At 35.2% G+C, this 25,995-nt stretch overlaps 1 protein-coding gene and 1 long non-coding RNA gene across 2 annotated transcripts in view, besides 2 other annotated features; one reads left to right on the top strand and one right to left on the bottom strand.

Annotated features, from left to right (window-relative positions):
• Positions 6,063–24,201, bottom strand: MMADHC (metabolism of cobalamin associated D). The gene is made up of 8 exons (NM_015702.3): positions 24,090–24,201; positions 23,515–23,575; positions 18,553–18,697; positions 15,857–16,074; positions 12,863–12,968; positions 12,137–12,267; positions 7,511–7,597; positions 6,063–6,594 (listed from the first exon to the last, which is right to left on the bottom strand). The coding sequence occupies exons 2-8, from the start codon at positions 23,521–23,523 to the stop codon at positions 6,400–6,402; spliced, it is 891 nt and encodes a 296-aa protein (NP_056517.1). The 5' UTR covers positions 23,524–23,575; positions 24,090–24,201; the 3' UTR covers positions 6,063–6,399.
• Positions 23,412–24,611: an enhancer, noted in NCBI's record as "MED14-independent group 3 enhancer chr2:150443500-150444699 (GRCh37/hg19 assembly coordinates)". NCBI's record gives its function as "activates an origin of replication core promoter dependent on BRD2, BRD4, P300/CBP and CDK7 cofactors, and independent of MED14, by STARR-seq in HCT116 cells {active_cell/tissue: HCT116}" and the evidence as "EXISTENCE:reporter gene assay evidence [ECO:0000049][PMID:35650434]".
• MMADHC-DT (MMADHC divergent transcript) overlaps positions 23,784–25,995 on the top strand; it is a 260,877-nt gene continuing 258,665 nt past the window's right edge. Inside the window, exon 1 of the long non-coding RNA NR_110240.1 lies at positions 23,784–24,276. This is a non-coding gene — a long non-coding RNA (MMADHC divergent transcript). The remainder of the gene's footprint in view (positions 24,277–25,995) is intronic.
• Positions 23,928–24,247: an enhancer, noted in NCBI's record as "active region_16626". NCBI's record gives its function as "activates an Ori minimal core promoter by ATAC-STARR-seq in GM12878 lymphoblastoid cells {active_cell/tissue: GM12878}" and the evidence as "EXISTENCE:reporter gene assay evidence [ECO:0000049][PMID:35858748]".

Genomic DNA, 25,995 nt, shown 5'->3' on the forward strand with positions numbered 1-25,995 from the left:
AAAGATCTCTACACCAGGTTTTTGGATTAAAGCGGATACATGACAAAGCTCCAGTTTGACCTCAACAAATCTAGATTTACTCTTCTGAATCATCATTAAGTTGATCAGCATCTAATTCACATCTATTACTGAACATCTATGTGACAGGAACTGTGCTCAACCATTCTTCCTGTAACAAAACTGGACTTCCTGGCAGGCACTTGTTCGTGAAGTCTGTGACAAGGATGACTTTAAACTATTTAAAAACTACTAAAAATTAAATTTGTAGCAAAATGGCATATACAGCTACAACATAAGCTATGAGTACAAACCAGTGTTTAAAAAGTTTAATACCTATTTTTGTACTACTGAATTGCCACTCATTTTAAATAGAGTGGCAATTTAATGACACAAAATCTTTATACTAGGAGATGTAAGAAGTTGTAACTTAAATATAATCCTATCTACATAAAATTAAAGCAATTAGAGACTCTATTTTTATATAGAACGAGATCAAAGCAGATTATAGCATTGCAACCCTACCTGTTTAGTCTATTTTCATTTAAAGGAAACAAAGTTAGTGACTATGCCATTTCATATAAATACACTGTGCCCAAAATGCAACATTTCATGAAATAACTGAAACAGTGAAAGAACTGTTAGATTGATTGAGAGGAAATCTACATGGATGACTCAATGTTAGAAACCCTAAGCATGATTTAACTATCCAAGGATTAAGAGGTTCTGGGAAAACTCTTAAAAGCTCTTGGCAAAAATGATCATGCTATAAATAATGTAAACCATGTCTAATAACAGTAAGAAAAATAAAATGCTTTGAAAACTTGTTTTATATAATGTAAGCATTAATGTATAATTAAAACTCTAGCTAAACGTTTAAAAAGAAAATAATTTTGCTTCAAAATTTCCTTTACCTATAAATTTTAGTTCCTTTTTAAAAACTGGACTCAGTTTAAGGGCCCTTTGCTGGCATCATTTATTTTTGAATAGGTTCTCCCACTATTTTAAGAGTGGATTTGATTGTATTTTTAAAAACTTTATTGGAGTATACTACACATACAAAAAAGTGCACCTAAGTTTGTACAACTGAATTCATCATGTGGTCAATACTCAAATTCAGAAAAACATAACAGAACACAAAACATTACCAACATTCCAGAATCCTTTTTGTCCTTTCTTCCAGTCAATTCTTCCTTTCCCAAGGGTAAGCACTATCCTGACTTGTAGCAGCATAGTTGTGTTTTTGTATTTCATATTAATAGAATTACATAGGATGTACTACTGCGTCTGGCTTCTTTGGTATATTGTTTATTACTTTCATCCATTTTGTTGCTAGTTATAAAGCATTTATTCTCATTATTATATAGTATCCCATTACGTGAATGTGACACAACTGAATTGACAAAAATAATTCTAGTGTGCATTTGAGTAGTTTCTTACTTTTGGTTATTTAGCACCGGTATAGACTTTTACATGAGTAAACATCTTTTGGTGAATATATACATACATAAACACACACACACACACATATATGCATTTCCGGTTGGTCTATACCTCAGAGTGAAAGTGCCAGGTCCTAGGGCACATTGAGCCTTAGAACTGTCAGTTTTCCAAAGTATTTATACCACTTTACATTCCCATCAACAGAATTTTAGGTTGTTCTACATCTATAACTTGGTGTATTTATTTTTTCATTTTTCATTCTGGTAGAGATGTAGTAGTGGTATCGCATTGTAGGTTTAATTTACATTTCTGATGATTAATGAAGTATGGCACCTTACCGTGTTTACCGACCATTTGAGTATCTTTCTTTGTAAATGTTTATTTTTCTGGTGGTTATTTGTTTACTGATTTTAGGAGTCTTTATATATTTTGAATACAAGCTGTTTATTGGATATGTATATTGCCAGATTGTTGAGTATGTATTTATCTTTAACTCTGCTAGCTGCCTTCTCCTTCATGATGTCTTTTGATGAATTAAGAGTTCTTAGTTGTTTTTTGTTTTTGTTTTTTGAGACAGTTTCGCTATCATTGCCCAGGCTGGAGTGCAATGGCATGATCTCAGCTCACCGCAACCTCCGCCTCCCAGGTTCAAGCGATTCTCCTGTCTCCTGGGTAGCTGGGATTACAGCACCACCACGCCCGGCTAATTTTTTCTATTTTTAGTAGAGACGGGGTTTCTCCATGTTGGTCAGGCTGGTCTTGAATTCCCAACCTCAGGTGATCCGCCAGCCTCGGCCTCCCAAAGTGCTGGCATTACAGGTGTGAGCCATGGCGCCTGGCCAAGGGTTCTTACTTTTAACATGATCCAATTAATCATTTTTCCCTTTATATGATTATGTTGTATTCTCTTAAAAACAAATCTTTGTCTACTCCAAAGCACAAAGATTTTTTTTCCCCCTAGAAGCTTTAACCTTTCAAATTTAGACTTGGAATCAATTTAGAATTTTGATGTATGTGTCATGTAAAAGTAAAAATACATTTTTCTATATGAATATCCAATTGACCCAGCAATATATACTGAAAAGATCCTTCTTTTCTCACTGCACTGCAGTGTCACCTCTGTGATCAATCAAGTGACCACTTATGTGCTTTTTATAGTAGTGACATGGTTTTAACTGATTATAATTTCCAGTAATGAATGGAAGACAAATGCTCAAAGTCTCAAAAAACAAAAAATGCTCAAAGCCTTAAGTCTACATAATTAAGTTACAGTTTACATGTATTCTAAGAGGGCAATGAAAACCCTATGAAAAACTTTAAAATATCCTGGTTAGGAATGAGAGGATAACAGGAAAGTTATTACTGCATATTCAATGGTGTGTTTAAGTTAGTAGGAAATTGGGTCCTTACTTTCCAAGTATGGGAGGCAAGATTTAAGACAAAAAAATATAAAGGAACTGTGTACAAAATCGTGTGGTGGAGACCAAGTACTATATAAATTAAGGAAAAGACCAGTGAGGGATGAAGAGCCAGGAAAGGTTTCATAGAGGAAGTGTGACTCAAATCCTTGAATTGATTTAGGCCTGATTAGGTCTCTCTTAATGCAAAATATTAGAGCCTTCATTCTTTTCTATAGCTCCTTAATACATTAAATAGATTAGCAAATCTTACTCTTATTTCCTTAGATGCCTCTAATCCACCAACTATTACTGAGTTTTAGGACCGACCAGAGGTTCTAACCCTGAATGCACACTGAAACACCTGGGAAACCCTTAAAAAGTACTTAGGTCCAAACCTCATCAGACTAATGATATCAATATGTGGGTGTGAGGCCAACTCATCAGTACTAAATGCCCTCAGGGGATCTAAATGTACAGTTAAAGTTGAGGACTTTGAATCAGTGGTTCTCAACCCCAGTGATAAAGTTGTCAGATAAAATTCAGAACACCTGGTTAAATTTGACTTCTGATAAGTATTTTGTCCCATAGGAGAAATATAGCAATAACGGAAGACATTTTTGTCATAACCATGGCTTGCTGTTGGTATCTAATAAGCAGAAACTAGGGAATGCTGCTAAACTTCCTACAATGTCTAGGAGAGCCCACACAACAAAGACTGGTTCAAGACGTCAATAGTGCAGAAGTGGATAAACCCTCCTTGTGACAACAGTCACAAGGAGAATATAGAGTTGGAACTAAAAAGAGAGTTTTGTTCAAATGTAAGGACTAGGTTGATATTACAAGTAACAGAAGCCCAAGAAAGACATGAAGGTTTTAAACTTGAAGCTAGAGAACTATTGTTTGAAGTCTAGCATTCTATAATTGAATTTTTAGATACATGTTTCAGTAAATTTTCAAAGAAACTAAAAGCACATAGCGTTCAATGTAATGAATTCCTAAGTTTATGAAGTGGCAGCATTATCAGTTAACCCAAAAGTTCTTTCACTTTAAATTCTGCAACTCTTTGATATTTTTAATCAGACACTTAATAGACTTCTTGATTATGACCATGAAGTGAATATAGAAAAGAAATATATATAACTAATGGACTCTTGGCCAAGTCCCAGTGCTGGGTCTTAACACTAGCTGTGTGACCTGATGCAAATGCTCCTGTTTCCCATTTTGTCTACCATAAAATGAGGAATGTGGATGACATGATCTGAAAGATCTCTTTCAGCATTTAATTTCTATGTGCTTGATAAATTTTCATCTATGTAACCAGCATCCAAGAACAAAAATTCCTAAGTTCTTGTGAAAACATAACTTTAACAAATAAACTTTTATTCAGTGACAGATCTAATAGTAATTTCAATGGCTCAGTCTTATTTTTTTAAAAGGTAGCAAATTTATGTTTAAGATATATAATTTTACAAATCCTTTCTTGTCCACAAGGTCCTGATCAAGTGAACAGTTACCTGAGGTGTTTTTTTCTGTGGTACATAATAGTCAACCACTTTATATTATTATCATTCAGTAAGAGTTCCTTGAGTTATATTTCTAAAACCTGAATCTTGCCATAATACTTCAGAAAAAAAAGTTTTTAATTAACAGTTACTGCTGATCATATTTGTTTCTGGAAATCCTGTTAAAAAGCAAGTTGATAAAGAGTCTCGTCACCATGTACCCTATCTCAGTACAACAGAATGCACAGACTTAGTCACCTATAGGGAATAAGTATCATTTTCGATCAGTAAGTGACACTTCCTAATTGTTAAAGCAAATGTTGAAATTTCAAGGGAACTTGCCTTAAAGAATGGTGCAAGGTAGGAAATGGCTGAATAAGCAAAATACACATTAGAAATAATGAGAGTGGTGCAAGGTACTTGACCAAATTCTGTATTGTGTAACGCTGTCCTCTGTACTGTGGGACGTTCAGCACTAACCCTGTCCTCTACCTACTAAGTTCTGTAGCACAACTCCCCCATGTCCCTCCAAATTATGAAAATAAAAAATGTCTCCAGACATTGCTAAATTTCCCTTGAGGGGCAAAGCTGCCCCAATTCAGAAGCAATGAGAAGGCAAAAACTAGGCAAACAAATTTGATACCATATACGATAACAGGAATTAATTTCACAATGTTGAGTAAAAGCAGCCAGACACTGAAGCGAACACATTATACAGTTTCATATATATATGTAAAATGTGTGTGTGTATATATACATGTGTATGTGTGTCTACGTATATATAAAGCGTCAAAACAGGCAAAACCAACCTATACTGTACAAGGAAACCTGGACAGTGGTTACTCACGGAAAGGGCAAGGGCTGGGGAGCATGTAGTACCTAGAAGGGAGCAGGATGAGTGTGTTTGAGTATTCTGTGTTTTGATCTGGGTGCTGGTTACACACATAAAAATTTATTGAGCACATATGATGTGCATATATATATATATATATACACTTCAATAAATGTTCTTCTAAATGCTGTGGCAATCACTACACTTCATCATTTCAAAATAAATGAAAACTTTCTAGTTCTAGATCGTAAGCAACACCTCTTATCAAATGACATGTTAACTAAGCTAGGGGTTTTAAAACAAGGTGTGATTAAAAAGTTATCTCCATGTAGTCCTTTTCAAAACAGGCATTTCATGCAAAGAAGAAAAAACAGAAAAAAATCTATTTCAATTCATTTTGTGGAAGTTACATTTACTCCTTAGATCTGCCTATTCCTATTTGCAAAAGCTTCAAAAATGAAAGATGAAGTTTATGATGCTGTAAAAACAAGCTCTGTCTCAAATGAGGCACCTCTGTAAAGTACTGCAGTTTCCACCTATTGCTAAAATTGAAAAATAAATTTGTCAGTTAAGGCATAGTTCTATTTGTCTGTCTCAACTCAGGAGTTAAGAGAGAATTACCTTTTTAGTAGGGATAAGGACAAGACTCATATGCGTTTAAAGATGTATTATCCTTCTTCTTCTTTTCCTGAACATAAATTATTTCAAAGTAATACTCAGACTGGTACCCCAACACTTAATAGACAATAAAGATAAAAGAAAATTTGAAAAAGTCTACAATGAATCCAAAATTCTCAATTGCATTAAAAAGAATTTTAAAAAGATTAATATAGAAACTTAAGAATCAATAATGGTATTTAAAAAATACTGTAATGAAAACACACATTATTGTAACCAAATGTGTGATTTATTTTGGGAAGAAAATAATTAAAACTGAGGCCTTTTTCCAATAAAGAGGAGAAATAACAATAGCAGATCATACCCTGGTTACAAGCTAATTACCACATCCTATACAATGTGGATGTGTTCAACGTGTATTCAATGATATGAATAAATGAACATTTGCAATTTTAAAATCCCAAATCACTTGCCAATGTTGTAAATTCATAAATGCTGAAATAAATACTTAGAAATAAATATATTTTAAAAACTTTAGTCTGACAGTGTTTATAGATCAACCCAAATATTACATACAAATAGTACAGCAAATGAATGGATATTTCTGCTAATTTCCACTTAATTTCTTCATAATATGGCTGTCTGGTGTTGCATTAGTGAAGATACTCCCTACAACTACATGGGTACCCCAGAGACTATGACGAATCACTTTACAGCATCCAAGGTCATCAACAGAGAATCCTAAATGTCGGTAGCGTTCATCAGTTTCAAAAAGAGTGTTGTTTGTATATGGTCCAAAAAACTGAGGAAATAAAAACGAAATATTCTCATTAGTAAGAAAGACATTTTAGTAATAATTTTTAGGTAAACATGAACACCTATCTACTTTAATACTCCAAATATTTAAAAAACTAAATAAGTAAAAAGTCACATGCAACACTTAAACCGCCTTAATATCCCTTTCCTCCAATTCCTATGCATTCTGGAAATCTGAAATGATCTAGCAAATTACATGTTACCTAGAATCAAATGCATAATATTGCATCCTTTGAAGATGGAATAAACCCTAGACAATTATTTACAGTTCACCATCATTTTCAAGACAAGGAAACTAAAGCCCAAGCAAAAGTTTTCCATTTCTCGATTATATCTTATTTGACTTTGAGAAGAAATGGTATATATTCCTATCTTAAGATTCAAAAAATGATTTAATTACTACTTGTTACAGAAAGATATATCCAGAATTTAAAATGTGACTACAGTGGTAGTTCAGTTATTTCTTCAAAGTATAACCTTATAAATGTTAATTTCCAAAAATTTACTGGTCTAAGTATTTATTTTTACCACCTGTATTTTACTCAATTAATTCTAAGAATAATTATTTCTTCCTTACAGAAACTAGACTGTACCAATTTATAATTTTCAACATATAAAATAAACACACTAATTCAATGCAAATCAAATATATAATATCTACTAGTGAGAGCAGAAAGTAAAAACATTTTTAATTAAAAAAATTAAAGTGATGGAGAAACTTAACTGTGAGTGATAGAGGTCTCTCAAAAGTTGAGAATTCAACTGACTCACAGTAGTATTTCTTTGGGTAAAATTGTGAGATTTTTAAAAAGTCTTAATCTATTACCAAAGTTATAAACACATTTTATAATAAAAATCATCTCTACTTCATATAATCTGATTTTCAAATGATAATTACTCACTGCCAAACCAGATGATGGGTCAATAAAGTCAGCCCAATAACCCTCAGCTCGAAGAGCATAGCAAATTTCCTTAGCACCATTGATGAACTGCAATGGAAGTCACAAATAATATGCTTAAGATAGCATTACTAGAGATTGTTTTATTTTTAAATAAAATTTTAAGTGACTATCTTGTTTCAGAAAAGAACTCAAGATTAATAAAAAAATAAAAACCAATGGCAAATTAGACTGTAAAGGCGTAAGATTCTTTTCACCATTCCAGAAGATTAATGGTTAACACAACACTTTATTTCAAAAAGACTAAATTCTGTACTTTTTCTTCTGAATTCTTTCTTTCTTTACGAACTACTTCTAATGAGTTCTGTACTACTAACTTCTGAATCTGTCATAAACTATCAACTATGGTTGCTATTTTGTATTACTATGGTGATAACAGAAATAGGTAAAATACTAAATAGGTATTTTAATAGAAATAGGTGAGGTCAGGAGATCGAGACTATACTGGCTAACACGGTGAAACTCCGTCTCTACTAAAAATACAAAAAATTAGCCGGGTGTGGTGGCGGGCGCCTGTAGTCCCAGCTACTCGGGAGGCTGAGGCAGGAGAATGGCGTGAACCCGGGAGGCAGAGCTTGCAGTGAGCCGAGATCGCGCCACTGCACTCCAGCCTGGGCGACAGAGCGAGACTCCATCTCAAAAAAAAAAGAAAAAAAAAAAGAAATAGGTAAAGGAAAATAAAATGCTCTTAGTGAAAACATCTGAAACATTCATTCGTTTAAATGAAAGTTGTTTAAAAACATTTACTTGTTTGTGTGTCCTTCAGTATACATCTATCTACTCACATAGTCATGAAATAATTCTGAAAAGACACATAAAAATAATATAACCTGGTAAATGATGTACAGAGTTAAACAAGGTACTTGCTTTTCATTATATACTCTTCTCTGTTTTTTGTATAGTGTACAATTACTACTACCATGTGCATATATAAAAATTTTGGTCTTACCATCCTAATTTATAAGATATTTTATTAGCTTTATCAGAAGTCTAAGTAGTGAAAAGACAGTAACAAATATTAAGACCAGATTACAATGTTGAAATAAAGAAGAGATCATGAATGTTTAAAAACAAGGGCACATAGCTACTCGGGAGGCTGAAGCAGAAGAATTGCTTGAACCCGGGAGGCAGAGATTGCAGTGAGCTGAGATCATGCCACAGCACTCCGGCCTGGGCGAGAGAGACTCCGTCTCCAAAAAAAAAAAATCAAGGGCACAGTTCCACTTCTGGCCATAACAGAGTTAACAGGTACTGAACTCACCATCCTGTTGTAAAACTATAAAACTGATCAAAATACACAAGTTAACTATTTTTGGACCCTGAACAACAGGTGAGACAAGACTATAATCTTTGAGAGAAGGGAAACAAATGAAGTAATCCCTATATCTGCTCTAGCTTTCTGTCTGTGGACATTTGCCTGTCACAGGGCAAAGAACTAGAGCCCAAGCAAAGTAATGGTGTCACTGGAGCTGAGGAGATAGAAAGCAAGAGTTCTAGACAGCTGAGGCACCTGGCAAGGTACTGGAAAAGGAGGAGATACATAAAATGGGCTCCTGAGTTAGTCTGCAGAACTATTCACCAGGGTTTCTTAGCTAAGGGCTGAGCTGTGCACTCATGAGGCAAGATTCCAAGAGGCCTAGAAATCCATGTGTCACGCAGTGCTGGGACACATGGATTTCCAACCCACCCAGAATGAAAAGACCTTACTGACCAACTCTGGTATTTCAGCTGAGATCTCCAGAAGTCCAAGCCTTACAAATCAAGACTATATTGTAATTCAGAGGTTAGTAAGCTACAGCCCAAGGGCCAAATCTGATCCGGTGCCTGTTTGGATAAACAGTTTTACTGGACACAGCCATGGCAATTCATTTACATATTGTCTACAGATGCTTTAACACAAGGGTAGAGCTGGGTAGCTGAGACCCTAGGGCCTATAAAAGCTAAAATATTTACTATTTGGCCCTTGTTAAACAAATTTTATGGGAGCTCCTTGTTTTGAACTAGCCTCCTGCACTAGGTCGCAGGAGATGAGACCAAACCACAATGGGGTCACTCATGCTAGGTACCGCCTAATCGAACTGAATTCTGAAACAGACTAGTTTTCAAACAAACAAACAAACAAACAACAAAAAACCCAGGAGATTCACAGCATCCAATCATAATGGGCCTAGTTTACCTGAGCCAGCATAAGAAAGCCACCTGTGTTTTAACCCTGTAAGGAAAGTAACTTTGAAAGGAACAATCTGCTTCTTGTTTCCTATTTCTGCTTTCTCCAGCCCTTTGCCGCCTATAAAGCCAACCTCCTCTGCTTAGCTGTTTGTAACACTCAAATCTATTTTACAGAATGAGGCGTTGCTTAATTCTAGAATTTGAAATAAAAATCAATTAGATCTTTAAATTTGTTATAATTTGTCTTTTAACACCCTTTATAGAAAAAGTTATTTGATCTAAGGTAACTTTTCTCTTAATACTTTCTTATAAACTAACAATAACCATTAAGATAATACTGTATTCTTTAGATTATCTTCCATATTTAATATTTATTGCTGTATTTTATTAATCCTCATAATTCTTAAAAATAGAAAACTACTGAATATGGCTTAGAAAATAGTCATTAGAATGTATTTCAATTTAATGAACAGATGTGTCATACATAAACACTACAAGGAGAGCAAAACAATGAAATGCGATCAAATGTTTACAAAGGTTAACTGAAAGAATCTCAAATTAAAACAAAAAAACCAGCTGAAGTATTTTTCTTAGGATTTCTGTTCACCAACACTGACATCTGCTGGAAAAAATTAGAACAGATTTAAACCATAAAATATCAAATATTTACTTGGAGAGCTAGGTGTGGTTCCAAAATAATCATGAAGAAATCTTTAAAAAAAAAAATCTTTTTTCACAGAAAATAAAATAGCTTCAGTCATTACAAAATTAAAACTCTCAAGATGAAGCACGTTGCCATTCAAACTGGTTATAGGAAACTTAGAACTATACTGGAGTCAGTATCAAATTAGGTTCAGAATCTTAAACTGACCAAAAATTAGAACCACTAATGCAATATACATGTGACAATATACTAGCACTTCAATGATAGTGATGAGTATATATTTACTAAGCATTATTTTAATATGTAAATAGAAAATATCCTATAACTCTCTATAACTCCCTTGTTAATTAGTATATAACTAATATGCTTGTGATTGTTAAAAACCACACGAAATCTATTAGCAGTTATGTGACATTTAAATGTGAAATTATAATATTGTTGAATATGTAAATTACAATATACTTTTACAAATAAAGACCATACATCTAATCCCAAATATAAAATACTTCCTAACATCCTACACAGGAATCACTAAAGGGATTTTTTAACTCAAGTTAGTGACTTGGGCCCCTTAGCTAACCTGAGTTGGAAAGAACTGCTAACACCCAGGGTAAGCTAGCATGACAGCTTATATACTAGAACAGTCTTTTTGATGGGCAAATTGGAAGTGTCTTATCAAAATTTAAAATGTAGATACACACTGATTCAGCAATTCTCTATTTAGGAATCTATAGATATTAGCATGCATAAAAGTATTTGTAAAAAGACTGTCACTGCTTGTTGCCTATAATAGCAAAAGTTGGATTTTAAACTTATAAATGACTAAGAAACTTCTTTTATAAGAGATGGTAGGTATCACTTTGTCGCTCAGGCTGAAGGGCAGTAGCACCATCAAGGCTCACTACAGCCTCGACCTCTCAGGCTCCAGTGATCCGCCACCTCAGCCTCCAGAGTAGCTGGGACTACAGGTGCGCACCACTAAACCTGGATAATTTTTTTTGTAGAGACAGGGTCTCACTACAGTGCCCAGGTTGGTCTCAAACTCCTGGATTCAAGCAATCCTCCAGCCTCAGCCTCCCAAAGTGTTAGAATTACAGGCGTGAGCCACTGCACCCAGTTAAAATTCTTAAATAAATTAAAAAGTTTATGGTTTACCCTGTGATATTAATACTATGCAGATTTTATAAAGAATGAAATATATCTATGTGTAAGCATGGAAACATGTCAAAGCATACTTTAGGTTAAAAGCAAACCACAGAAAAAAATGTGGGTATACATTATTACACTATTATTGTACTGCATACTGTTACTGTTTACTCTTGGAGAGAACTGGCATAATTTTCACTCTTTATTTTGACATGTTCTAAGCCCAGGAGAAAGGGGATAGATTTGGAGGGGAAGATGGGGAGATGAAGGGGGAGATGGAGAAGGAGAGGGAGGGGGAGGCTGAGGGGAGAAGGATAAAGAGTTAATTTTACCTTTTTGTCATTTACCAAATTTTCCAAAATAGACTTTTTAAAAATAAATTGAGGAAAGTAATAAACAGAATCTAAACTTTTAAGGATACTAAAAAGCTGCACTTTTACTCTCAAAAAAGATGTAAGTCCTTTAGTATTATAATACTTTGGCAGAAAATGAATAAAGGGTGGAAATGACAGTCATCATTTTAAGACATTGGTTCACTATTACTTAAATAATGACCATAAAATTAAATTATTAGCAATTGAAAGAATTACCTTTTCTAAGAGCACTTCTCTTTCAATTTCTACTTCTTCACTCCAAACAGTCATATCATTCTTAGTTTTTTGTGTTACAGTCAGAATCATTAGTTTGCCATTAGCTACTTCTGGAAACAGTGATTCAAAATCTACAAATAAGAATAAACATTCCAGGTAGAAAAGAATTTGATTTTTAAAGAACAAATTTTTAAAGAAGGATAAAAGTACTTCTTTAGAAAAATGCTGATTAAGTAAAATTACTGTGGTATTAGTTAATTTTTATAAATGTATGTTATTTTTGAAAAGGGTAAAATTCACTTAGTTTTGTTTACTTCTGCTTTTGTTGGATGAACTGAAATATTACTACCAACAATCCTGAAGGGTAAGTAGGATTACACGTTATTTGGGGTTAATATAATTTTCAAAAATGCTTACTGTTAAGATTTTTCCGTATTATATTAACTCATAAAATTATAACTCTAATAATCACCCAGGAGTAAAAATGACTTTAATTTAGCCTTAGGAAAAAAGTTATTAAAAATTTTACTCTTCCTATCTAATGGCAGCATGAGGTCAGATGTCACAGGACATTTCAAAGCCTTTATCTTGGCCATGCAATCATTTCCAGCCAGATACGGTAAAATATAATATTAAGGTATACAGCGTTCCAATTTCTATAGAGTACATTATTCAACATATTAAAAAAATTAGTAACAGTGTTTCAAAGTATAAAGCATGACATACCTTTTCGCAGCAATTCTGGACATGTCTGTATTGCACACTCTACTCTGGCACTTTCAAAGTAAGTTTCTGCACTGTTAATTTCTTGTTCAACAGGTGCATCATTACCCTAAGGGGAACAAGGATATAAGTCAACAAAATCTGGAGTTCAAATAAAACGGTATCTTGCCTGTTATAAACCTGTCTTCCTTAGAAAGCTTTTTGTTTGTTTTTACAAAAAATTATAATCTAACTGGGAGGTGAGGTAATAACATTTTCTCATTTACTCAAACTTTTCTCTACAATGAATATAAGATTTGGAAGTTCAAAAAATGTGAATACAGCAGAGCATGAATATATAAATATACTGATATTCTAAAACTTGGTATAAACAGAAATTGGCTAAGTAACTAAAATGCCATAATGTGTCTCATAATGTTACCTCTTCTATTTTATGGTAATATTTAATTATCTTTTCTTCTATAATCTGTAAAAGGGGGATAATGATACTAACTTACAAGATACATGACTAAATAATACAGCCTCTCCTACAGGAAGAGCTTAGAGGCTTTTATTCAACTGAAATTTACTGAGAGCCTACTATACATCAGGCACTATGACAGGAGCAGGCGCTGCAATGGTAAAAAATTCAGTCCTCACTCTCAGCTATTTCAGGCCTAATAAAAAAAAATAAGTACAAGCAAATAAATGCAATTAAATATGACAAGTGCTACAGAGTTATGAATAAAGTCTTCCAGGGGCATAGATGAGGAAGAAACTTACTTTGCTGGGAGGAATCAGGAAATGATTGAAATGGTGATATTTGAGCTACAAGTTAGTTGATGTGTTATGTCTGACAGGTAAAAAATAGCTGGTACAGAGGTTAGGAATTCAGGAGGAAAAATAGTCCAGCAAAAGATAATAAAGTACAAAGACACAGAATGTGTATTCAAGAAAAATGGCAAGTATGTTGTGGCTGGAGTGCAGAGGGAATAGGAAGTAGTGGCAGATAAGGTGGGAAAGGTAAGGGATCAAAATTATGAAATGCCATTTATTCAGCATTAAGAAATTTGGACTTTAGTCTACAGGCAATGAGAAACAGCAATATCAAATACAAAAATTAGCCAGGAATGGTGGCATATGCCTGTAATCCCTGCTCGTTGGGAGGCTGAGGCACGAGAATTGCTTGAATCCAGGAGGCAGAGGTTGCAGTGAGCCAAGATTTGCAGAGCAAAACTCTGTCTCAAAAAAAAAGAAAGAAAAAAAAATATTGTGGGCTAGAGATTATTACTATCCTCATGTGACATTTATAAAGAAACAGGAGTGGTCAGGCACACTGGCTCACGCCTGTAATCCCAGAACTTTGGGAGGCCAAGGCGGCCAGATCACAAGGTCAGGTGATCGAGACCATCCTAGCCAACATGGTGAAACCCCACCTCTACTAAAAATACAAAAATCAGCTGGGTGTGGTGGTGCACGCCTGTAATCTCAGCTACTCGGGAGGCTGAGGCAGGAGAATCACTTAAACTAGGGAGTTGCAGGTTGCAGTGAGCCAAGATCGCACCACTGCACTCTAGCCTGGTGACAGAGCAAGACTTCATCTCAAAACAAACAAACCAAACAACAACAACAACAACAAAGAAACAGGAGCTTAGAAAGGTTAAGTAATTTCCTCGAGGTCACAAAATTAAGTAAGTTGCAGAGTCAATCTTTGAACCCAGATTTATTCTATCTTCATTGTGTGTCATGCTACAATGACTCTAAAAATCCAGGTAAGACAAAGAGGCCTTGAACTCTGGCAAAGAATTGAAAGGACACTAATATTTTAGGAGCAACTTGAGAGATAAAAGCGATGTGATTTTTATATTATTTATAGTGATATGATGGAGAAAGAAGGTTGGTGCTATAAGTTTTATCTTACGAGAGAGGGGAGGATGGTTATTCCACTAATAGTATTGGTTATACAGGAGTTAGGACAGGTTTTTAAGGAAAAAAAGATTACTTCAGTATTAGACACACAAAATCTGGGGACTTGTGAGACATCCAAACAAAGATGGTTCAGTAGGCATATAGAAATATAGAACTGGAAATGTCAGAAATAGAAATACTGAATTAGAAATTATAAAAACATAGACTGTGGAGGCGGCCAAGGGATTAAGTGACCAAGGGGTGATTCAAATGAGAAGGTGTAGGACAGAAACTTATGGGAAATGTAATTTAGTTGGTAGACAGGAAGAACAAGGAGCCAAGAAGGCTGAGAAGGAATTATCTGAGATAAAAATATAGGACAGGTCAACTGTGTCTCAGTGTCATGTCATCTAACATAACTCAAATGTAAGGAATTGGTGCTGCTTATAATATGGCTTTGATAAAAAAAAACTCAGCCTAAAACTATGCAAAAATATGAAAAATGATAACCATCAGGGGTTTGACAGAAACCCTGAATTGCATGTAGCTTTCCACTTAAATAAATAATCATAAATGCAAGTTTAAAATGTTTAAAAATGAAAAAAAAAAACCCAAACAAACCTTAATAAATTGTTTAAGAAAAAATAAACTTATGAAACTGGTTCCTTTTTTTTTTTTTTACTATATCTGAACAATTTCAGAGATCTCAAATTTTTCTTAAGCTTTTAAATGGCTAGAGGAATACAGAACCAGTTGGAATTAGATCCATATACAAATTTAATTGCCATTTATTAAAAATGAAAAACAGGGAACCTAAATTTCCAGTCTACAGATGTAATTACATTATGTATATCTAGAGTAGTTACTTAAAAACATACTTTTCAAGAAATATTTTAAAAATATTATAATCTACAGTAAAAAAATTATATAGCAAACACTTTGTAGAGGACAATGCCAAGTTTTCCAAAGCTATATATGCTGTTTTTGTATATACATGTACTGGAATTAAATTGATTTTTTACTTTTTCAACAAAAGTAATATGCTTATAATAATCAAGTCATATAGCATTAATAATCAGGAAAGCACAATAAATGTTACCAACAATTTACCTGAAATTCATTCACATATTGTGCCATCACAAACTCATGTCTTTCACTTGATAAAGGTTCTGCTAGAACATCAGGCAAAGTTTTATGAACCAGGCTTTTCTTCTGTGAAGCAGTCCCATTGAGGTGACAATCAAAACCTATGTTCCCAGGAAGCTGGAACCTCTGATCTTGAGGTCCAAAGGGTCCCATAGTTTCATCAGGCCACACTGTTCGAGAGCCTGAAGAGAAACAACAAAAGGAACAGTTTCTCCTTAATAGTCAAGTATATTGGTAGACTGAAAGAATGCTCTTCTTAAAATTATGTATATTTTTATCTAAAAGATCTTCAAAATCTGCTTTCCCATGTGAATATAAATAGTTTCCTATTGTTTCCAAAACACTAATCAAAGCAACTGATTGACAGATCACAGGCAAGTCCGTTATTAGGGGAAAGACTGAATAAAATACTCTAATCCATACTAAGAAATGCTTGAATGTCATTAAAAAGAAGACAATAAACCTTTACATACTGACACTGAATGAAATCCAGGATACAATGCGTTAAAAGAAAAAGCTAAGTCAAAGAACAGCATGTATAATAACATTTATTTACATCCCCATATTCACGTATTGTTTTGTTTTTGAGACGGGTCTCTTGCAGTACAGTGGTGTGATCGCAGCTCACTGAAGCCTTGACCTCTGAGGTCCACCTCAGCCTCCCAAGTAGCTGGGATCACTGGTGCACACCACTATGCCCAGCTAATTTTGTTTATTTTTGGTAGACACAAGGTCTCCTCCTCCCTCAGCCTCCCAAAGTGCTGGGATTACAGTCATGAGCCACTGTGCCAGGCCCATGTTTTTAAGTAAAGAGAAGATCTAAAATGAAACTTAGTAATGGTCGTCTGGGGAGGGGCATTCTGCTGCTGTTATCTGGTGGCACAAAATACGAACGGGAAAAAAAATCATGCATCACATGACCTAATGCTCTGTTTACCAGCCACATGAGTTAATATGGATTGCAAATATAGAACAGACCACATTACTTTATTCACTTAAAACTTTAAAAAAAATCCTAACTTATAAAAAATTCAGAAAGATTCAGAAAAGAATAAAGTAGAAAATTAAACTAATAATTACTCAGAGTAGAGATCTGGGCTTAGAGAAACAGAGGGACAACTGCTATGCATATTACTTAGCAATAAAAATAGATATTTAAAAATATCCTGTCAGAGAACTAAGTAACTGAGAATGGCCATGTCAGCATGGCTGTCTCATTCCTGGATCATGAGCCACCATATCCCTCTTCCACACTTAGGACATACATCACCCATCAATCATGGAACCATTTCCTGCTGAACCCAGACAACGTCTCAAGATTCTCAACATAAACACTCTAGTCCAGTGCCCCTCAAACTCTAAAGATGTACTTAAGATACATCTGGGATCTAGTTTAAATGCAGATTCTGATTTAATAGGTCTGGAGTGGGGCTCAAGATTTTGTATTTCTAACAAGCTCCTAAATGATACTGATGCAGATCATGTTGAATAACAAGGCTCTATCTAGACAGCCACTAATGACTACTCAAGTCACTTCCCAAGAGAAAACCTGTTAGCTATTTTTGAACAAGATGGTTTTTAAAAGTCTAACAATCCCTAGATTCTCTTTACAGAAAACAAGCATCCCATATTAATAGTAGATTTGGGCAGTGGATTTGACCATATGTTTACTGGTCATTTTAGGTTTTGTTTTCTGTGAAAGGCCTATTCATGTCCTTTTGTTTTCTGATTTTCTGTTGGGTTATCTTTTCCTATTGATCTATTATAAATTCTTTATATATTCCAGATACTAACATCTTATATAATTTGAATGGCAAAATCTTTCATTTATTATAAATATATGGTTAGTCTTTAGGTGATGTAAATTGGGGAGTAGTCAGAGAGTTAGAAAACTTGGGCAGGATGGAAGGCTCTGAATGCTCAAGTGAACTTAAATTACGTTGTAAGTAATGTGTGCCATGAAAAAAGGATTCCATGTCCAATATCTTTAGGACACATTAGGTTAAGTTTCTAAGAGTCTTTAATATTTTAGTGTGCCTTATAAGCCTCCAAGGCAGGAATATGGCATGTAGCATTTCTCAAACTTACCTACCACAGAGACTATCCCCCTACCCCCACTTTTTCTTTTTAACCTTGAACAAAGCTTCATGGCTTGAAGGTAGTCTGGGAACTACTGCTGAAAGCAATGAAAGATAACAGGTTTTTCAAGAAAGGGACATGGTTAAAATAATTTAGAATGATTAGCATGGTAGTGGTGTACCAAACAGGTTAGAAGAAACAGACTTTGTAGAAAGCAGGTAAGTTCAATAAACACTAACACATAAAAAGTACAAGGTACATTTATGAAATCTAGCAAAGAATGGGAAGAAATAATAATATGGTTTAACAGGACCAAAAGGAGATTTGTTTCAGGGAAGACTCTATGTTTGAAGACAGAAAGAAAAGTTTAAGAAGTAAGCTTTAGAAACCAGTACTTACTCTTTTTTCAATACTGTAGCTTTCTGACATAAATATATTTAGGCAGAGCTGTGATTCATTTTCAACTGAACAAACACAACTTTAGAAAAATCCATTAAGCCTTAAGAAGAAATATTAGAGGAAAATACAACTAAAAATGTTTTGAAACAATTATAAGTAAAGCAGTAACAACTTTCACTTACATATATCTGGAGGTGCAGCAGCCACATGAGACTCATCCGAACCTGATGATCCTGCAGTCGAAAAGGCTTTGGGATTGACAACCCTTTTAACTAAAGAGCAAAATCCTGGGAGATAGGAAACCAGTCTGGCTCTGTTACAAAGCACCTAGAAATGACACAAAATTAAAACTATTTGTTCTGAATATAAATGTTATACTTACATAGACAATCTCTGGCAAATCTTCACACTGCAAGGTTCTTTTAAAACCAACATTTATTCTACTTTTACTGAACACCTACTATATGAAAGCATTATATATATTTGTAATTTTAAAAATAAAAATAAAAATTAAAAAAACAAGTAATAAGTTAGTTTGGGTAAAAGCCTATGTACTTTTCAATAAAGGCTAGAATTCAAGAGTGCCACACATGAGAGAATAGACATCTAAAAGTTGTCTTATTTAGACACAACACTAAAAAGGTAGCACAACTAACAAGATTCTTCTATCCTCAATAAAGAACTCTCAAGACATCTCTTTGGACCAAAATCTGTTACTTTCGAACTTTTCTCTCTTCTTTTACTGCTATAAATTGCGCTAATTCTCTCCCATACTGTCCTTTCATTGTGGTTTCATGGCAATGTCTGCTTTTCTCCATTTCAGCACGTATCTTTGTGGTATATTTTTTTCTGCTTATATGTTCACTTACTAGACAGTGAGGTCATGTATTACAATGGATGAATGTGTAAATATCTTTCATTCATAAATTTTTTAACAATCTTTCATTCATAAATTTTTTAACAAAGTACTTGGGTCAGAACAATTTAATGCAGGGATTGGCGAACGATTTCCCAATACAGCCCACTGTTTTGGTAAATAAAGTTTTACTGTAACATAGACATACTAATTTATGTACTGCCTATGGTCACTTTCCCACGACAATGGCAGAGTTAAGTAGTTACAAGAGATATTCTGTGGCCCACAAAGCCTAAAATATGCACTATCCGGATATTTGTATTAAAAACACACATACACACAGACATTGGCAACTCTCAGTTTAGTGAAAAAGATGTAAAAACAAATATCAAATCATCTGTGAAATGCTATGAAAAGATCTGAATAATTGTTAAGAAATCCTTGGGAGAAAAGGTAATAAATTTCATGGAGGATATACTAAATTTTGAATACAGTAAAAATTTGCTTGGGAAAAGGTGCATTTCAATGAGTGACTTTCAGGAACAAAGGAATAAAGACATATTTCAAAGAGTGACAAATTCAGTGAGGGTAGGTATAAGAATGCAATTAAAAAAAGGTTTGAAATTGAACTTATGGGCAACTATAAAAGACTGTATATTTGACACAGATGGTAAAGGGCTTGTTACATCAAGATAGTAAGTCGGAATTTTAATTTGTAGGCAGGAAAGAGTCAGAGCAAACTGACAAAAACAAAGGCTGTTTTAAGAAATGTACCACTAAGGGCAGTATAAAAAATGGACTGGAGGAGGAGTAGAGAGGTGGTGTGAAAATCAGTTACCAGGATGTTGGAAAAATCCAGCCATCTGACACCTGAGAATTATTCTATTTCCTTTTCACAAAGTACAGTATTCTAATATCCAACCTATTTTTTCCTTCCTCCTTTGTCACTATGAGTGCATCTTAACTGGTCTTTTTGCCTTTCTGACATAATTTCCTACAAATTTACCCTCCCTTCCCTTACTCTACTTTTCAATTACATAAAAATATCTCCCCAACATTTCCCATTTCTCTTCATTCTTTATACTGCCATAAGAATTCTTCTGCTAAAAGATACTGTTTCCTTATCGTTCTAGAAAATTCTAGCAAATTCTTACTTTTTCTTTAAGACCTGGATAAATATAACCTCCTTTGTGATACGTGTCTCCAAAGCATTCTGTCAACCTGAAAATTTAGGCTGCCTCTCTTGGGGTCTGTACCCAACTTGCCCAAAGAAACAAAAATGGTAATTATTTGGCTTTTTACTTACTAAACAAACTCAGACTTTTGGGTGTTTATATAATACAAATTTACCTTTACAACTAAGGATATTTAAGAGAATGCCTCAGGATCTAAAGGAATCTAAAATTTCAAATTCCAAAAATATTTTCAGCAAGGGCTCAAAATAAGCAGCAGCAAAATAAAAGATTATCTGAAGGGGCCAATATTTGAGAGCATGTAATAGTAATAATCAATGTTGGACACTATGGGTCCAAGTTCTATAGTAAGTGCTGTACATATACATTGTTTTATTTAATTTTCATAACAATTCTATATACTGTTATTAGAACTAGTTTCAGCATGGTTAAACTACAATCTGCGATCATTCACATCGTTTCACAAGCAAAAAACAGAAGGAGGAGGAAGATCATCCAAATTATTTCAAAAATCGCCTATTATTTATTATTTTAGCCTGTCTATCAAGGCCATTAGATTATATTTTGACATTCTTTTCTTGGTGATAGAACTTTTAACAAAAGTTATATAATAAAATATGAGTTTTGTTCCTAGCCTAAGAAAATCCAATTACCAAATTTCATTTTAATAGCAAAATAAACCAGTATCTAAATTGCCCACTGAAAGCGACAGTTGATGATAGTACTAATCTGTTTCAAACCTTACCCGTTAACCTGTGAGATTCTCAAATCTTGGCTGGGTGCAGTGGCTCATGCCTGTAATCCCAGCACTTAGGGAGGCGAAGGTGGGTGGATTACCTGAGGTCTAGCCTGGCCAACATGGTGAAACCCCGTTTCTACTAAAAATACAAAAAAAGCCAATTAGCCGGGCATCGTGGCAAGTGCCTATAATCCCAGCTACTTAGGAGGCTGAGGCAGGAGAATTACTTGAACCCAGGAGCCAGGATTTCAGTGAGCAGAGATCCCGCCATTGCACTCCGGCCTGGGAAACAAGAGTGAAACTCCGTCTCAAAAAAAAAAAAAAGAAAAAAGAAAAAAAAGAAGAAAAACAAATCTGTAATTGTAATTGTGGAAGTGGAATATTTTCTGACAACTTGACAGATTTTATGACTGGTTCAGCTGGTGAACATAATTAAAAATAATAGCCAAAAAGCAAGTCAAAATTACAGCAGAGAGTTCATTCTAGTTTGAGGAAAAGCATTTATTTTATATATGATTAAATTCAAACTTCTAGACTTGGGAAGATGACATGCTATTATGTTTTAACTGTAAAATCCTTATTAGTATATAAAGAGAAAGTGCCTTTTGTGCACTGCCTTAGGACTAAGTTCTGCTTTTGATCATGTGAGGAAAAAATATGGTCTGTACAAAAACTAAAAACTGGTAGTTTATGTAGTGCATCCACATCTATCCAGACATTTTTGTGCATCCCACAGTGTTGCAAGATATTTGAATTAAATACAAACATTGAGAAATCGCAATATTTACACAAAAGGTCCAGAAATTTGGCTCTTCTTGAAAACTCAGAAGATCTGGCAGTATTGGATTCACATAACCAAATGGCATTAGTTAGCAACAAATCACTGTAGCTAAGGAAAGGTTGCTCCCCTTTGTTCAGAAAGGCTTTGTCACAGTCCCCATGAAGGCTTCTTAATGTACCTGTCTAGACTCTGAAACATGAACATTCTTGCCCCTTGTTATGAAACACTATCTGCATATTTCATTAGTAACATCCATCCACAATTTACAATCCATATAAATTAACACAAAAATTGTTATCGTACATTTGGATACTGAAACTTAAATTTATTTTAATATGAACTTCTTTCTAACAAAAGACTTATAAAAGGATCTTCCCTACTGAACTATTATAATTTATTCATTTAAACCAAAATAAAACCAGGTCAAATAATAGCATTCTATTCTACTTCAATTAATTTCTCTCCTTTGAAAGTACCACATACTTCTTTTACAGCATTCTCTTTCTGTGCAGGTTATGGGCAGGCAAAAATTCACCATAGAACTTGGCCAAGACTAGTAATCTATTCTTATGACTTGTCTCTATAGTCACACTTTAGACTTAATATACCATGTTCAATTACAGAAATAGCATCCTGGCTAAATGCTGCCATATAAATCTTCCTAGCACACAGCTCTAAGTGAATAATCACAATTTAAAGAATGAAGTCTAAATTACTGAGTTCGGCATTCAAGGCTCTCATTTACTTGGTACCAACCTCACAATTCAACCTTATCTCCCACTTATCTCTTTCATGCAGCTTACATTCAGGTTGGCAGGCAGCAGTCACTTTTCAGTTTTTCAAAGGGGTAGGCGGGTTGGGGAGTTCTTTGAATATACCTTCCTGTCCTTCCCGCTCATATTTTAGACTATACAAATCCCACCTATCTTTCAAACCTCAAGTTAAATGTTTCCCTCATGAAGTGATCCCAAACTCCTCTCCACAAAGACTTGAATCTGCATTGCACCTTCGTGTAGGTTCTAAAAAAAATTATTACTTTATACTTTAATTGTAGCTGTTTTTATATATGTCTTATGACCGCTACATATGAATTCTATAGATAGGATGTGTCTAATCACTGCAAAGTTACAGTCAATAAATATCTCTGGTGTGTGAGAGTATCTCCTATTCTTATTTTGTAGGATTTAGAAGGTCACTTCCAATATGGAAACTGTTTTAAAAAAAAGAAAAAAAGATTAAAAAAACCCTTCAGTTTAGCTAACCCAAAAGCTAAAAAAGGGCCTAAACATAGATTCTAATATTTACTGAAACGCTGTATTTAAAAAATACCGAAAGGGTGCTTGAATTTCCACATCTGTACAAATGAAATTGTATAAATAAGTGTATTTGCAGTGCAAAGAATGCTACCATCTTCAAAGCATAACATAATTTCACACCACTTGCTTCCCTTGACATTTTTGATACATTATATCTAACACTATACCACCCAATGCCATCATAATTAAACCCGTTCTTTCATTCCTAACATTCCCAAACGAGTTTACTATGCTGATTCTTAAGAGATAATTTACTCACATTGGCCATCTCCGCTGGAGAAGATAGTTCGCAAAATAGCTTTCCTTTGGTAAAGTTATTTCTGGGAAAGAACACAACAAAACAGACGAGTGATCGATTAAACTCTAACAACAGACAACTGAGGTAACGTCCACTCTTCGAAGGTGTGTCGTCCACCACGTCAGGACCAAAGTCCAAGCTCTCCCCGTACCCTAAGGAGGCCAGAACTCGCCCCCATGCCAGGCACAGATCCCCCAGCCCGGAGCCGGCAGTGCAGCTCAGAGCCCTTCCGGTTTACAGCCGCGGAAAAACAACTCGGACCAGATCCGGGAGGGGAATGGGGGCTGGGTGGCCAAAATTCAGTCCAGAGGATCGAAGCGGCTGCTTTAACAGAAGTTGGGGCTGCGTAACAACAGCTCCAAGCAAAGCTTCAGGCTGATCGGAAAGATGAGGAAGCAGAAAAGAGACTAAAGACAGACGGACAGGATGGCTGGGGACAACGACAGGGACCCAGTGAAAATACGGGCAATACCGAGGGCTGTAACCCTAACACGGGCAAATTTGGAGGGGCTAACATGGGCGGAAACCATCCGTACCAGTCACCACCACTGTCTCCAGCTGTCCCAGAACCGGACTCTTCCTGCCATCAAAATGGCGGCGGCGACGGCAGCGGTGGTAGCACCTACGCTGGCGGTGAGCAGGCAAAGGAAGTTGCTTCCGAGCGCGTCGAAACGATGATGCGCACGCGCAAAGTAGGCCTACGTGGAGCCGACCTGCCATTGGGTAAACGCAAGGGAGGAGAAAAGGTGGGGCAGGGGTGATTTGGGTGGATGGATAGGAGGGCTTCCGACCTGCGTTAGGCGGGTCAGTTAATCTTCAGTAACTCCTTGATGCGTTTGATAGTCCTCCCAACTTAAGCCTTCCTTACTGCCTCCAGGAGATACAGTCTTCTGTTCTTTTTGTCATAGTTGTTTATTTTTCATGAATCGCTGTTTTTGAGCATAGGGCACTTACCTCTTTCTGTGTCCCCAGCCCTACCACAGTGCCAGGCTCTCAATATGCTCGATAAATATTAGGCGATTGATTTGTAAATCGTGTATCATTTTCATGTATCTAATACTTTTTTAAAAATTGATTAAAGCCCATAAGCCCATATTTTATTCCAGATGTCCTTAGTTTTCGACCTGGTATTCTTTTCCATTCCAGGATCCTGTCCGGAGTACATCACCATGTCTTCCAGGCTCCTCTGGACCGTGACCGTTTCTCAAACTTTCCTTGTTTTTGATAACCTTAATAGTTTTGAAGCGACTTATTGGTCATTTGGTCAAATGTCCTTCAATTGGGTTTTGCCTGTATTTTTCTCATGCATTAACTGAGGTTATGGGTTTTTCTTGAGTTAAGAGGTAAGGTAAAGTGATCTTCTCATCACATCACATCAAGGGTATATACTATCAACATGACTTATTACTGTTGATGCTAACCTTTATCACCATTATTACAGTGTCATACAGAAAAGTTTTATAGTTCTACAAAGATCCCCTTTGTTTCATCTAGTAAGCCCTTCCACCTCCCTATGTAGGGTTTGTCAGGTTTCTCCACTGTGAAGTTACTGTTTTTCTTTTCCTCTCCATACTATACTATTTGGAAGGACATCTCTCTGTGCAGCCCAAACTATAGGAATGGGAAATTGTTATACTCCACCTTTATGAGGACAGAATATCTTCATGAATTATTTGGAATTCTTCTGCATGGGAGATTTGTCTGTACTGCATTTATTTATGTATTCAATCATTTATGTCAGTATGGACTCATGGATATTTATTTTACATTTTGGGTTATAATCCAATACTACTTTATTTTGTTGTTCATATTGGTTCCAGCTTTGGCTATTGAGATTTCCTTTAGTTGGCATTTGTGTCTTTTTGACAAACCCTCCTCGTTTTATGTTTATTGATTTTTTTTCTTGAGCATTTTCTTAATTTCTATAAGTTGCTCCAGGCTCATCTTGTATATTCCCTGCCCCAATCCTAGAATCAGCTGCTTCCCCAAAAAGCCAAGGGTACTTTTAATGGAAAATGATATTAGAAATCAAGATTTGGACATTTGGGATGTTGTTGCTTCTAGACACTCTCAGCTGACAGAGCAAGGAAATATTTGTGGATATGCTAACCTGACTAAATACGCATATCTGTAAGTATTTATATATGTATCCATCTGTATCTTTGACAGCTACACAGGCGTTCTAGGTTCAAATACTAGAGCTGTTATCTTCAGTTCAATTCCAGCACCATATGGATCATTGCAGCCTTCTCCCCTTGCTTGTCTGTAGCCTTCCACTCCAGTGTGAGACACCTGGCTCTCATCATCTGCCATCCATTTACCTAATTGTTCAATTCCAGGTTACGTGTATAATGGATTCAGAACCGTCAACCCGTATTCAGAGTACATGTATAGTTGTTTCTGAACTGTTATCAGGTATACCTGTGAGAAACAGATTTACCA

The sequence above is a fragment of the Homo sapiens genome, chromosome 2 (assembly GCF_000001405.40).
Source record: "Homo sapiens chromosome 2, GRCh38.p14 Primary Assembly".
NCBI lineage: Eukaryota > Metazoa > Chordata > Mammalia > Primates > Hominidae > Homo > Homo sapiens.